The 14,205-nt window shown below is 43.7% G+C and overlaps 1 protein-coding gene, 1 long non-coding RNA gene and 1 pseudogene across 2 annotated transcripts in view, besides 3 other annotated features; 1 reads left to right on the forward strand and 2 right to left on the reverse strand.

The window, feature by feature from the left end:
* Positions 1 to 571, reverse strand: part of EIF1B-AS1 (EIF1B antisense RNA 1) — a 136,554-nt gene extending 135,983 nt beyond the window's left edge. Inside the window, exon 1 of the long non-coding RNA NR_033965.1 lies at positions 196 to 571. This is a non-coding gene — a long non-coding RNA (EIF1B antisense RNA 1). The remainder of the gene's footprint in view (positions 1 to 195) is intronic.
* Positions 311 to 670: an enhancer, noted in NCBI's record as "active region_19714". NCBI's record gives its function as "activates an Ori minimal core promoter by ATAC-STARR-seq in GM12878 lymphoblastoid cells {active_cell/tissue: GM12878}" and the evidence as "EXISTENCE:reporter gene assay evidence [ECO:0000049][PMID:35858748]".
* Positions 580 to 3,297, forward strand: EIF1B (eukaryotic translation initiation factor 1B). Its single transcript, NM_005875.3, has 4 exons — positions 580 to 845; positions 1,766 to 1,929; positions 2,343 to 2,444; positions 2,843 to 3,297. The coding sequence occupies exons 1-4, from the start codon at positions 815 to 817 to the stop codon at positions 2,885 to 2,887; spliced, it is 342 nt and encodes a 113-aa protein (NP_005866.1). The 5' UTR covers positions 580 to 814; the 3' UTR covers positions 2,888 to 3,297.
* Positions 941 to 990: a silencer, noted in NCBI's record as "silent region_14230". NCBI's record gives its function as "represses an Ori minimal core promoter by ATAC-STARR-seq in GM12878 lymphoblastoid cells {active_cell/tissue: GM12878}" and the evidence as "EXISTENCE:reporter gene assay evidence [ECO:0000049][PMID:35858748]".
* Positions 3,511 to 3,805: a silencer, noted in NCBI's record as "tiled region #12551; HepG2 Repressive non-DNase unmatched - State 17:Gen3'". NCBI's record gives its function as "represses a minimal TATA promoter and a strong SV40 promoter by Sharpr-MPRA in HepG2 cells {active_cell/tissue: HepG2}" and the evidence as "EXISTENCE:reporter gene assay evidence [ECO:0000049][PMID:27701403]".
* On the reverse strand, positions 13,591 to 14,144 carry PGAM1P3 (phosphoglycerate mutase 1 pseudogene 3; annotated as a pseudogene).

The following is a 14,205-nucleotide window of genomic DNA, read 5'->3' on the forward strand; positions in this document are numbered from 1 at the left end:
ATCCACCGTGCTAGGGAATCGGAGGTCCGTCCAATCCTGGAAAGAGAGGCTCCCATCTCCAGTATTGGTTGAGACTAACACCGCTCCTGCAACTGGGGTTGGAATTTCAATGCAGGTAGTTGCTGAGCGGGGGCCAATGAGTTGAAAGCCGGAGCAAGGGGACTTGTTTTGTTCCTGCACCCCGATTTTACTTACATTACCCGGGGCCTCGAGGGTGACTCATAGAGATTAGCCCTGAGCGTCGACCCCTCGGCGCCGCCACTGCACAGCGAGAGAAGGGGAGTCAAGAGAGACGCTTGAGTCCCTTGACTGTCCTCCCCTACGAGCTCTCTGGGAAGAGAGCCCCAGACCTGCGAACTCTGGGCCGCTCTGCGGCCGCTTGAACACTTCGCGGGTCTTCCGCCCCGCGCTAGAGGACGCACTCCGTGACGGGAATTGCGGTCTCGGCCGCCCCCGGCCTCAGGCTTTCCGGGCTCTGCTGCCTCCAGAAAACTACAAGTCCCAGGATGCTCGGCGCGGGACGGTCACGTGGGAGGGGCCGCGGGCGCGGCTAAATAGTCTCCATCGGCCATTTTGTGCGAGAAGCCGCAGCGCCGCCTCTTCTCTCGCGCCCTCGCCTCTTCCTCCGCCTCCTCCTTCGCCTCTTCCTGCCTCCTCCCGGCTTCCGCCGCCGCCACTCCAGCCTAATCCCAACCCCAGGGCGAAGCGTTTTCTTATTTATTTCCGTTTTCTCGCCACTACAGCCTCCTGACAAGGTGATCCGGGCGGGCCCCGCAGGAATTTTATCCCCTCACCGGCCTCACACTAGTATCGCATGTCCACTATCCAGAACCTCCAATCTTTCGGTAAGATCCCGTCGCCGCCGCCTCCCTCCCTTGCCCGGCGCGCATCTCGGCCTTTTGCCCGCCTGGCCACCGCCCCTAGGGGCCCCCTTTCTGCCCTTCCCGCACCCCTAGTGGGGCTTTGTCTCGGCGCCCAGAAAATGGCGACGGGGCCCCTGGCGACCCCTTCCCCGAGGACAGCGCCGGACTCCGAGCCCTCCTCTCGGAGCCCCGGCCGCGGGCCCTGCGCCACCCCCTGCCCCGTCCTTGACCCGGCTCTCGCCTCCGCTTCTGCCCCTTGAAACCTTGGCGATCCTATTTCGTGGACTCCTAGATCGGCCCTGCTACTTGCAAAGGGTATGCCGGGCCAGGGAAACCAGGGATCGGCGCCCGTTCTCTGGCAGCTCCTGGGGGCACTTAGGGAAAGATGCGGATGCAAGCCTCTGATCTGTCACTGGCCAGTGGTTCAGTCTTCTCTGCTTGCGTAGCAATTTGTTAAATTACGCCTCTTGATATATATGTAATCTACTTTTTTTTTGGCAAGGCACAGTTACGGTTAAATGATTAAGGTGGGCGTATTCGAATGTTTATGTTTTCATCAGAATGTAATCGAGATGACGCACATTTTTATAGCGGCTACAATATTAAGGTTTTCTAAATCTTTTTCTCATTAGAGGACCATATTGAACGATAACATTATTTATCTATAACAGCGTTTTTCTACAATGGACATAGCTGTTCAAATGTTTCTCTTTTTGTGAGAGTATCTTGGGGGTTTTATTAATACTCCACCCCCATCTCCATTCCTACCGGCAAAAACAGCAAAGGCACTAGAACCTTCATTGATGACTGTCTGGATTGGTAGTATAATGTATTTCTGGAAAGTACTTCTTAAAAAATATTTTTCTACTTTGGATTTTTTTTTTTTTTTTATCCATTCGCAGACCCCTTTGCTGATGCAACTAAGGGTGACGACTTACTCCCGGCAGGGACTGAGGATTACATTCATATAAGAATCCAGCAACGGAACGGCAGAAAGACACTGACTACTGTTCAGGGCATTGCAGATGATTATGACAAAAAGAAACTTGTGAAAGCTTTCAAAAAGGTAAAGGGATTAGGAAGAAAGGATTAGAGTTACTGATGCACACCTCTGAACTGGATTATGATTCACACCTTTATATCGGCGTGGATGAAAATAACTAGACCAAGAAAGTTGTTCTCATTTTTGTAATTAACATGTAAATATTTAGTTATTCTCCCAGTGTGGTCTCTCATTTTAAAAGAAGATTCGCGTTGCTTTTAAATAAATTTAAATGTGAAATATTTAGTTCTTGATGTTACACATAAAATCATTTCCTGGTTTACAAATTAATTTGGAAGGATTGTGGATTATAGGAGACAAAATCTGTTTCTCTAAATATGATCTAGCTTACTGAAATGGCTAATTCTGTTCATACGGTGAAATAAAACCTCATAGTAGTTGACTAAATTTTGTTGTATATTTATGCACTTTTCCAGAAATTTGCCTGTAATGGTACTGTGATTGAACATCCTGAATACGGAGAGGTTATTCAGCTTCAAGGTGACCAAAGAAAAAACATCTGCCAGTTTCTCTTGGAGGTGAGTGATTGGGTGCTTTATGTGTAACCTTGAGATTGCTTTTAAAATTGTATTTAAAGGCAACATGATTTGTTTTCTACTAAGTAAAAAATCATACGAATGAAGGAAATTAGGTGAAATAAAGACATGGTAGTTATTTGGAAAGCAAAGACCTTTATCTGGTTTATTTTGTCATTAGAGTATTCTGATCATTTCTTTATATACACACACAGGCTATTTCTTGGCATGTAAAGTATTCAAATACGTGTTGAATTGTTGGCTATCAGCAGTGCATGCCACAGACAACAGTGTTGCAGTAAGCTGTTGATAGTGATTCTTTTTAATTACTCTTCCATGTTTTCTTAATGAATTTTTATATTTCTCAGAGTTATTTTGCTAAATTAGATTTTATTTTACAGGTTGGCATTGTAAAGGAGGAACAGCTTAAGGTTCATGGATTCTAAAATGAACCTAAATACGTGGAGAATTTCTTGAATAGTTTTGTTCTCTAAACCCGGTTTGGCTGCCTTGTGAAATGATTCCCTGCAGTAAACGGACTTTTCATTTATTTAATCATTCAAACTTCCATTCACATCTGCATGATTACAGAAAACATGGGGTATGTAGACTAGTAACACATAAGAAAATTGCAGTAAGATGGTAACAAAACCTCATATTGTCTTTACATGTTTCCAATGGAAAATGTTTTGAGTGTTTATTGTTCAGTTTATTACGTTTCACTTGATTAAATTTTTTTGTTGTTGTATTAAACCATGTACGTTGCAGCTTAACAATAAAAAAAAATCTATGAATCTTTGTGAGCAATTATGCTCCCAAATCTAAGCAAGTAAAATACACATTTTGTCTTTCTTAATTGGAGTTCTCTCATTCTGCATATATTCCTTCTGATTAGCTTCAGCTGTTACACCCAGCGCTTAGAGGAGAACCTTATATCCAGTGCTAGAGAACCTTTGTTATTTGTAGCTTGTGTTTTTCATGTACTGATTTAAGAATAGAAGCAGGAGTAGAAATTCAGCCAGAGCCACTAGTCATGGCAAAGCAAGTAAAAGTTGTCAAAGAATTTATCAGATTGTAGTATTAAATGTTGTTAAAGAGTATGAAGTTTAACAGTATTAGAACATAGAGTTCTTTTCTGTGTTCTTATCAGTTGTTACTGAGTTGCCAACATAAGTCTATCCCTAAGTACCAGATACTGTAATAGTCTTGTGACATAAAGCATATTTAGTCACAGGCACTTCCCTGCAAGTGTAGGTTGATGGTATCACTGCCTTACAGATGGAAAACACTGGGCCTCAGGTTAATTTCCCAAGAGTGCTAGAAAGTGACAGGGTGTCAGCCCAGAGATTCCAGCCAGGAAATTTCTTTTACTACATCATGATTTTGGTATGTGTTTCACCAAAGTGAACCAGAGCCACAGATGACAATGACCAGGGGTGATAGTGGTGTAAGAAATAACCACCAGCCACGGTGTCTCATGCCTATAATCCCAGCACTTTGGGAGGCCAAGGCGGGCAGATCACTTGAGGCTGGGAGTTTGAGACCAGCCAGGCCAACATGGTGAAACTCCATGTCTACTAAAAATGCAAAAAATTAGCTGGTGTGCACCTGTAGTCCCAGCTGCTTGAGGCTGAGGCACCAGAATCTCTTGAAACTGGAAGGTGGGGGTTGCAGTGAGCCAAAGTGGCACCACTGCTCTCCAGCCTGGGCAATAGAGCAAGACTCTGTCTCTTAAAAATACATATAATTTGCAGTTCTTAATTAAGAGATTTCTGCAGCTCATCTTCTTGAGTTCCAGGCTCCTTTCTATTAAGTAGTATTTACTTGGTTGCACGGGCCACGCCACTAAAACCATTTAGCCGATGCAAAGATGCATCTGCATGGGCAAACTTTTTAGCTTACTACAGTTGCATGAGGATGGTATGGAAAAAAAAAAAGTCTTATTTTGGGGCCAGTGAGCCCTAATGAGCCCTTGCCTATATTTTGGTGATACTGTTTTTGGGAAAACAAAATCAGCCCCCACAAAGTTTGCCTCTTAAAGACACTAAGTAATAATAGGTTTGTTATTTTCTCACCTCATCCTTCCTCCAATACAGTAAGACAGACAAGAAGTATACAGCAGAATATAGACCCAAATTTGATAAGCACATTTCTGGAAAACATCAATACAGTTTGATGAAGAAGATCAAGAAGTTTGGGAGAATTTTCCAAGTTACTAAGAACCTCCTACTTTTTCATCTGTAATATTGTATAGTAGCACCCTGTTGAGGGGTGCTGTGGAAATGGTAAAGCAGAAATTTATATTAACAGCCACATTCAAGTGCTGCCTAAATAGATAACATCTGCTGAGAGCTGAGCTAGTGCCAAGAAAATAATTTACATTAGATGGGAAAGAAAGCACCCCTCATCCTGGGACCCATAGACAAGCTCTGTAGTAATCACTTCCTGTGTGAGTCCAAAGTGGGTGGGATTAAAAGGCTTAAGGAAAACTTCCCTCTGGATTTCATGAAGAGCACCTTTCCTGATTCTCTTCCCTTCAGCCTATGAGTTCCAGCACCTGATTGGACTTTGAACTTGTGGGGCAGTCCCAATCTTTAGAGCAAGAAAGAGACGAGGAGGCATTGTATAACTGTGGAGGAAAGATAACATGTCTTAGAGATGCAGCAAACTGGCAGTAGCCAAACTGGATATCTCTCTGTGTCTTCCATGTTGGAAGGTCTTGATCTGCAGTTTCTTTAGTGGTTTATACTTCAGGGTGCACAATGCGTAATACCAAGTAGAAGACAAATAGGTTTATCCCTAGACTTTTAAACTTGGAGACGCCATTAGGAAGTTAAGACCTTTGGTTGAATCATAGCCTGGAGTAAAGTGCTGCCAGCAGCAATGTCCTCCACCTTTCAGTCCTGGCTCTCCTGAGGCCGAGGAAACCCCATGGAAGCAGTCTGATCAACCTGCTTAGGAACTCGAGTAACAGGAACTGTTCTCTTAACCATTCCAGAAACGGGGTGGCTCTGATCATATGGAAGGGACAGTTCTAGTTTCAGTCATGATGGCAGTTAGCCAAAATAACTTGAGAAATATGGAGCTGTAATGCAGGCTTCTGTGTGTCACGTGTATGCCACCAGCCTGGCTCCACCTAATGGAATGGGTAATGACAGCTTGGAAAAAGGCAACCTCATTCGACCACCTCCACACACCAGCTGCACTGGGTTTCTGAGGACTCCCCTTACCAAGCCAAAGGTCCATTTGGGAGAGAAACAAAGGCATGATCCTGCTGTACTAAATCCAAGAGAGTCCTCAATTGTGGACTGTGATCACTTGACAAGCAAGAGGTAGCCAGGTGACATTGTGCTTGTCTGGGATCAAAGGGCCAAGGGAATCAGCTAGAATTAAGCAGGAGCAAAATTATATAAAGAGGCCTCAGCATTGAACACTCTTCACATAGTCATGTAGGCACTTAACTCCTTTTTATCTGGATAATGGAAGCATGGAAAAAAAACCCATAAATCAGAGGATTAGGCTATATTTCTTCCTTCCTGGAAAACCATTCAGAGTGGAATTAATACTGATGAGAGGAGAGAATGCCAGACTCCTCCAATGTTCCTTACCCAGCATTATTGTGTTAGATGACTTTAGGGATTCTCTGAGCTACACGGGAGAACTTAAAATGGCAATTTAAGGCTGGGTGCGGTGGCTCATGCCTGTAATCCCAGCACTTTGGGAGGCCAAGGCAAGCGAATCACCTGAGGTCAGGATTCGAGACCAGCCTGACCAACATGGAGAAACCCCATCTCTACTAAAAATACAAAATTAGCCAGGTGTTGTGGTGCATGCCTGTAATCCCAACTACTCGGGAGGCTGAGGCAGGAGAATCACTTGAACCCAGGAGGCAGAGGTTGTGGTGAGCCGAGATCGTGCCATTGCACTCCAGCCTGGGCAACAAGAGTGAAACTCCGTCTCAAAAAAAAAAAAAAAAAAAAAAAACTGAAATGGCAATTTAAACTCAGCATCGGCTTGTGAGGATACCATCATGGGTCAGGTGGCTTACCTGGTAAGTCATCAGTCTGATTTTGAACCCACCACGGGTAGCAGTAGATCTGCTCTGGTATATAGATAGCTCTGCACCTGTGAACTGAGGGTGAGGGCCCTGATGCTGCATGATGCTGGATCTAGGTGCCTTCATCTCAAACTAGTGAACAGCCTACAGACATTTTTCATGCAAAAAGCAATGACATATAGATAGGCACCATTCGTTCAAGGCACAAAAGAAGCTTAAAGCCCCCACAGGGAATCTAATTGATCTCAGGCCTCATGCTCAGGCTTCAACTGCAGCTCCCTGTTCTAGTCTAGAGGGTTTTGAAGGCCTGAGGTCTATAGAATGGTCCAGAAGGAGGCTAGCTTTAACCCCAGAGTTTGTCTCCATGTGTCCTTTACCCATTCTTACCAGGGTGCCAGACCCCAGACCCCACATCCCGAGTCCACTGGCAAGGAACAACATACTGTCTGGAAAGTAGAGAGAGAACTTTTTAAAAATGTTTATTTATTTATTCATTTGTTTATTTTTGAGATGGAGTTTCACTCTTGTTGCCCAGGCTGGAGTGCAATGGCATGATCTCAGCCCACCACAACCTCCACCTCCTGGGTTCAAGTGATTCTCCTGCCTCAGCCTCCCGTGTAGCTGGGATTACAGGCATGCACCACCACGCCCGGCTAATTTTGTATTTTTAGTAGAAACGGGGTTTCTCCATGTTGGTCAGGCTGGTCTCGAATCCCAGCCTCAGGTGATCCGCCCACCTCTGCCTCCCAAAGTACTGGGATTACAAGCGTGAGTCACCGCACCTGGCGTTTTTATTTTTAAATTTATTTTTCCCTTTTAATTTTAGTTGACATGTAATATACATGTTTGTGGGATACAAAGTGATATTGCGATACATGTACACAATATAAAATCAAATCAGGGCGATTAGCATATCCATCACTTCAGACATTTATCATTTCCTTGTATTGTGAGTATTTTAAATCCTCTTTTCTAGGTTATCCATGTCAGCCTAAATTTTGTGGGGAAGACATCACCAGACAAGGATTTGGTAGAAGGTATAATTCCTTGAAGTAAGAAAAGGCCAACCTGGGCGCGGTGGCTCACACCTGTAATCCCAGCATTTTGGGAAGCTGAAGCAGGTGGATCATCTGAGGTCAGGAGTTCCAGACCAGCCTGGCCACCATGGTGAAACACCATCTCTATTAAAAATACAAAAATTAGCCAGGTGTGGTGGCACACTCAGGAAGCTGGGGCAAGCGAATCAGTTAAACCAGGGAGGCGGAGGTTGTAGTGAGCCGAGATCACATCACTGTACCCAGCCTGGGCGACAGAGCAAGACTGTGTCTCAAAATTAAAGTTAAAAAAAAAAAGAAAAAAGAAAAAGAAAAGGCCCACCCCCATAAACATCCACTCTTAGTGCATCACTGCCATTGACTTGTTAAAAAACGCAGAAAAGCTTAGCCCAATACTAGCATCAGGAAGAATAGTAAATGAGTGGCCAGACACACTGAATGGGAACCAGTAACAGCCCACTTGGTAGATGAAGTATGTCGAAACGAAATATAGGGTACCCAGTGAATGATGCTATTACAGAAGAAATTGAAGGGGGACGGATTTCTGTAAGTATGCAGTCCTTTATCACCCCCTTGTGGCCACTTAAACAACTGGAAGGCTCCTAGCAGTTTACATGCATTATAAAGGTTTAAGTTGCAGTCATCATTAAAGCACCAGCTGACAGGTTTGATTTTGTCATCACTCAAATGTGATCCAGAAATTAATCTAGCCAAACATTTATTATTACAATTCATATAAATCAATTGCCATTTTTCTTTACCTGGGAGAGACAACAATGTTTTCATGGTCTTGCCCTGGGGATATATAAAGCACCTCAGCTACTATCTACCACGGTGCTGTTAGAAGGAATTTAATTTAAATGTAAACAGAGACTTCTGTTTACAGCCTCCAGGGAATGAATGATTAAGCTAGAAAACAATCAAGACTCCTAAATTGTCGCTTGTTGAGAAACACAGTCTGGAATTTGCATACACACACCCTAAATATTCAGTGCTCTCAATCTAAACCACTGTCTTAGGCCAATACAGAAGTTAATGTGCCTTTCACTTATGAGGTTGCCTAAAGGCTTTAGTCTGGGAAAAGCAGCGACAGGATTCCTTAAAACTCCTTAATGCCATTCCAGTAGACCTGAAGAACCCAGAACAGGACTCATTTGGAAAACTAATCATTAGGAACGTACTCACTTGCAGAGCATCTGGCAGATCTCACCTGCACAGGTAGGGGAGGGCTAATGAGAGCTCAGTAGTAACCTGGAAATGGTGCTCTAGGGATTTGGTCCCACAGGAATCAACAGCAGCATCACCAGATGGGCCTCTGGTTAGAGATCCCCACAAGAGGTGTTAAGAGGTATAACTTAGGAAACTATCTCTTTAACAACAGATCCTTTGGGCCTTTTTACATTTTTATCAAGCATTGCCCCTCATTTTCTCACTTCTCTTACATTAATAATAAAAATAGCTAATTCCTTTTCAACACTTATATTGTAGGTCCTGCTCTGAGAATTCTACATGCATCAGCTCATATAATTCTTTTCACAGACATCATGACCCGGCATAGATTCCCTGGCTTACCATCACAATCACACCCCTTGCAAATATCATCTCCCCTTGATCCTTTCTCCTTTTTTTTTTTTTTAATTCATTTGACAAAACCCCAATCCAATCCTTGTTCAACCTAACTATCTGCTCCACAACAGCACATAACACCTGGAGATAGCTGGGGGGTGGGGGGGTGGGGTAGGGAAGATGGCTTTTCTTTCTTCCTTTCCCTTTACCAGTCCCCCCTCCATCCTCCACTAAGCAAGGTGAAGGCTTGGTCTTATCCGTCATTGAGATATTTGACCGTCTTCATTTTTCCACCTCCAAATCTACCCTTTGGAGGCAATGTTGCATACTCTGTCTTCTTTCCCATACAAGGCATGAAGTACACTTGCTCCACCCATCAAAACAAACCCCTCCATTTGTGTCCTGGGTACCATCTCCTCTTCTCCATAAAATACCACTGTAATTATCTCCTTTCTTCTGAATCATCAATTTCTTCCTCTCTACTGGATCATTTTCATCAGATGGAAACATCTAGTACTGCCCGTCTTTCAAGTAGAAGAAAAGAAAACCATTGATCTGACATTCCCTTCAGCAAACAAAGAAAGAGCCTGCTTCTTTACCCCCAAACTCTTTCCCCAGTCGGCCTCATCTAAGTAAATGGCACTGCCATCCATAGAATTGCTCAAACTTAAAACTTTATCTTTGAATTTTCCCTTCCTTTACTGCCTTTACCCCGTCCTATCTAATGGGGTCTTAGTGTTTCTACTTGCAAAATGTATCATATCCATCCTTTCCCCTACCCCCAACTTCTGACTAGTACACCTGACAAGCACCATTGTTTTGCACCCGGATTACTACAGTAGCTCTCCGGCTGGTCGTCTTGCATCCATTCACAACACAGAAGCCTGAGGATTCTCCAAAATTCACGTGAGATTATGTCAGTTCTCTGCATGAAATCTTCCGAAGGCTTCTCATTGCACTTAACATTAACTCCAAACATATTACAGTGGCTTACAGGATGCCACATCACCTGTTCCCTGCCTATCCCTTGTTCTTGCCATCTAGCCTCTGACTCTCCACTACACGACCAGACCCACTGGTCTTCAACCTTAAAGCATTTACACTACATGTTCAGTTGGTCCAGAATACTCTATCCTGCTCCCCATCTCCCTTCTTGTCCCTCAATTTCAGTTCAAACCTCATCTGAAGAAAGCCATCTCTGATCACCCAATCTAAATAAGCCCCTCACCACCCATCTCCCTCAGCACCACCCATCTCAGCACCCTGTATTTTGTTTTCTTTATAATACTTATCTTTATTTAACAACATCTTGCTCATTGTTTTGCTAGTTTACCTTGCATCTCCCTACCACTAACATGTAAGGTATACAAGAGATACTTGTAGGCGATGCTGTCTGTGCCTCACCCATATCCCTTGGCACTCACCTTTCCCACACATGTGCCCTGGATGCTCCAACTGCAAGCATCTGTGTCCAACTGCAAGCATTGTTTGAGGGCATTCCCTGGCCCCAGGAGCATGCAAGGGATGGAAATACTTGAGACTGGGGCAGGATGGAAATACCAAGGAGTTAACACCTGCCCCCTGCACCCCTCACACTAGCAACCTTCAATCAATGGCAGGTGGAAATAGCTATATAATTATCCCAGCTCACTTACCCTCAGGTAAGAAAAGCATGGAAGCATGGTCTATACTGACTCCCAGGATTTCCCAGCAAGATTGGACCTCAGTTGCCAATAACAGTAACCTGTCAATAAAGTATCATTTATTGGCTCCCTTCCCTTCCCTTCTCTGTCTCATTTTCCCATACCTCCACCTATGCTTTCTGAGATCACCTCCCAAATAAACTACCAGCACTTACATCCTTATCATAGCCTTCTGGAGGAACCCAACTTAAGATACCTTTGTACCTCCCAATCCAGTTTAGATCGGGGTATGAAATACAATAGGTGCTCAATAAATATTTGTTGAACAAATGAGTAAATCTCCCTCCCTGTGACCACCACTCACCCTTTGGGAAATTCCAGACTTATCTATTATACGTAACGTATCTGTGGGTCATTTTCCATTTTGAAGATATTTGGAGCCTGTGTATCTGAGGTGGGAAGAGAATAGATATTTGTAATAGGATTGCTTGAACATAATTATTTCTGGTAAGCCCTTTCCTTACTCTTTATTTCATGCTTCTCCCCTGGAGTAGGGGAAGAAGAAGGGAATTCAGTTCCAGGAGAAAGGAAGCTGGAAAAATGAATGCCTGGAAGGGACATATTCTACCAGGGCCTTGGAAAGACTTGGGTTCTAGGCCCCTTTGCCCTTTGCTGATATTTTCCTAGTGGCCTAGCTTGCCCAGATGCTGGCTGAGACTTAGTTATCTTCTTATCACATCATTCTACATATGCAAGAAGTATCCATGGGGAAAAGGATGGATTATTTAGTTGAAGGTGTTAGGAAATTTGGCTCAATAAAGAAAAAGCTGGGTCCCTACTCCATACCACAAACACTAATGGATTACAATGGATTAAAGACCTAATTGTGAAAGGCAAAACTATATAGGTTATCAAAGAAACCCAGAAAGATATGTTGTGACTGGGACAAAAAATAAGGTTAATTGGTCAAATAAGCTGGGTGCAGTGGCTCACACCTGTAATCCCAGTACTTTGTAAGGCAGAGGCAAGAAGATGGCTTATAGCCAGGAGTTCTAGGCCAGCCTGGGCAACAAAGCAAGACCTCGTCTCTATAAAAAAATTTAAAAATTAGCCAAGCATAGTGACACACACCTGTAGTCCCAGCTATGGGGAAGCTGAGGCAGGAGGATTACTTGAGCCCAGGGGTTTGAAACTGCAGTAAGCTATTATCACACCACTACACTCCAGCCTGGGTGACAGAGTGAGACCCTGTCTCTGAAAAAATAATATGGTAAAATATACATAACATAAAATTTATCATCTTGACTTTTTTATTGCATATCACTCCTTTGTTATACTAAACTAGAAAAAAATGTAGTACAGTTATTCTGAAAAAGAATGCTGGGACCATGTGACAGGGCAAAGCAAGTAGAACACGATTAAGAAATCAGGCACAGTGAAAGACACATTTGGACATGCTCAAGGGGCATTTCACTGCCACAAAACAAGGCAGGGGAGGGATTCTAAAATATACAGCAGAATGCACTTCTACCCTTAGAAGTCAAAAGGCGTATCCCATGTTGGTGTGAGGATTGGCTTACTTTCTGATGACCATACATGGGACTAACTATTTCAACTGCCACTAGAAACCCCAAAGTGGTTGTGTGTATGTGTATGTGTGTGTGTGTGTGTGTGTGTGTATGTATATAATATATATGTATATATATAGTGTGTATATACATACACATACACACAAATATATGCACACACATACATATATAGACAAAATTTAAGTTTCTGTGTTGAATTATGTGTTAAGTTTGTGTTGCATTTACTTTTACAAACATATATGTACACATATGTGTTGCAATTATATATAATATCTGTATTTTATATAGATAAAAATTATATATATTATATCTATATTTTATATATAGATATTATATATATAAATATGTGTGAATGCAACACATAAACTTAATTGAAGATTGATCCCAACCTTCTAAAGCCAGCTTCTGTGGTGTCAGGGAGGAAATAGTTGATTTTTTTTAACATTACTATGTAGGTTACATTTATCTTCCACTGAAATGACTAACCCCACCGCCCAAGTCAGTGACCTAACCACAGAAGGGCACAGGACTGGCTCCTGGGGTCAAATAGGCACTCTTGCTTCATTGCTTCTTGCTTCTTCATTGGTCATGCCTTAGCATGGTTCCTCCCTCTCCCCTTCTCAAGCTGGTCCCTAGTAAACATAGCCCTGGCAAAACCTAGAGTTACTACCACTGAACTCTCTTGGCTAAGAGAAGCCTTCCCTCAGTGTGGACTGAGAACCCATGCCCCAGAGACGCTATTCCAATCCAGCTGTATGAAGGGAGTGGGTGTAGGAGATACAATGGCTGAAAGGAAAATGGAAGCCACTGGTCCCCCATCTGCAGCTACAACTTAAGATGACTACGGCTGGGCACGGTGGCTCACAGCTGTAATCTCAGCACTTTGGGAGGCTGAGATGGGTGGATCACATGAGGTCAGGAGTTTGAGACCAGTCTGGCCAACATGGTGAAACTTCATCTCTACTAAAAATACAAAAATTAGCTAGGCATGGTGGCATATTCCTACTGTCCCAGCTACTCGGGAAACTGAAGCGGGAGGATCACTTGAACCTCAGAGGTGGAGGTTGCAGTCAGCTGAGATTGTGACACTGCACTCCAGCCTGGCTGACAAAGCGAGACCCCGTCTCAAAAAAAAAAAAAAAAAAATGACTATGGTCAGTGTGACATATGCAGAAGTGCAGAGGAAGGGATGGGCAGAGAGGGCATTCCTTGGGACAGTAATCTATCTGCTGGCCTTTATTTCTTGACCTTGCTCCCAATAGCCATAGCTTCCATGGCTTTATGCACAGTCTCTTCATCCCCCCCCGGGAACTACATGGGCTTGGTGGGCTTCAAGTTCTTGTCCAATCTATAGACAATGGGAATACCAGCTGGCAGGTCCAGCTGCATGAAGCCTCTTCAGAGACACCCTCCAGATGCTCAACAATGCCCCGAAAACTGTTGCCATCAGCTGCAATCAGCACCCATTTCCCCTCCTTGATCTAGGAGACTATCTCTTCTTTCTAAAAGGGCAGAGCTATGGCAGTAGTGTCCTTCAGACTTTCACAGGAGGGTAGCTGATCATTCTCACTGGTGTTGCCTTAGACGGGATGGTTGGGCTCCATCAGAGGTGATGAGACATCATAGGAGCACTTCCAGATCTTTACCAAGGCCTCCTCATGCTTGGCAGCAGCTTCTGCTTTATTAAGGCCAATTAGAACCCCATAGTGGCACTCGTTCCAAGTCCTCATTACAGGCATCCACATCTGGTCAATGGCATCCAGCACTGTGCAGATGGTCCAGATGGCTTTTTCTTCCACTGTCCAAGCCACCACGCCTCACAGAAAAGTATCAGGCTGATCAACCCAGATCCAT

The sequence above is a fragment of the Homo sapiens genome, chromosome 3 (genome assembly GCF_000001405.40).
Source record: "Homo sapiens chromosome 3, GRCh38.p14 Primary Assembly".
Taxonomy (NCBI): Eukaryota; Metazoa; Chordata; class Mammalia; order Primates; family Hominidae; genus Homo; species Homo sapiens.

What these genes read in the sequence shown, in the direction of transcription:
- EIF1B (NM_005875.3), top strand. Translation starts at nt 815, where the DNA reads ATGTCCACTATCCAGAACCTCCAATCTTTCG. An exon ending in TTGTGAAAGCTTTCAAAAAG is followed by an intron (nt 1,930 to 2,342) that starts GTAAAGGGATTA and finishes GCACTTTTCCAG; the next exon opens with AAATTTGCCTGTAATGGTAC. An exon ending in TCTGCCAGTTTCTCTTGGAG is followed by an intron (nt 2,445 to 2,842) that starts GTGAGTGATTGG and finishes TTTATTTTACAG; the next exon opens with GTTGGCATTGTAAAGGAGGA.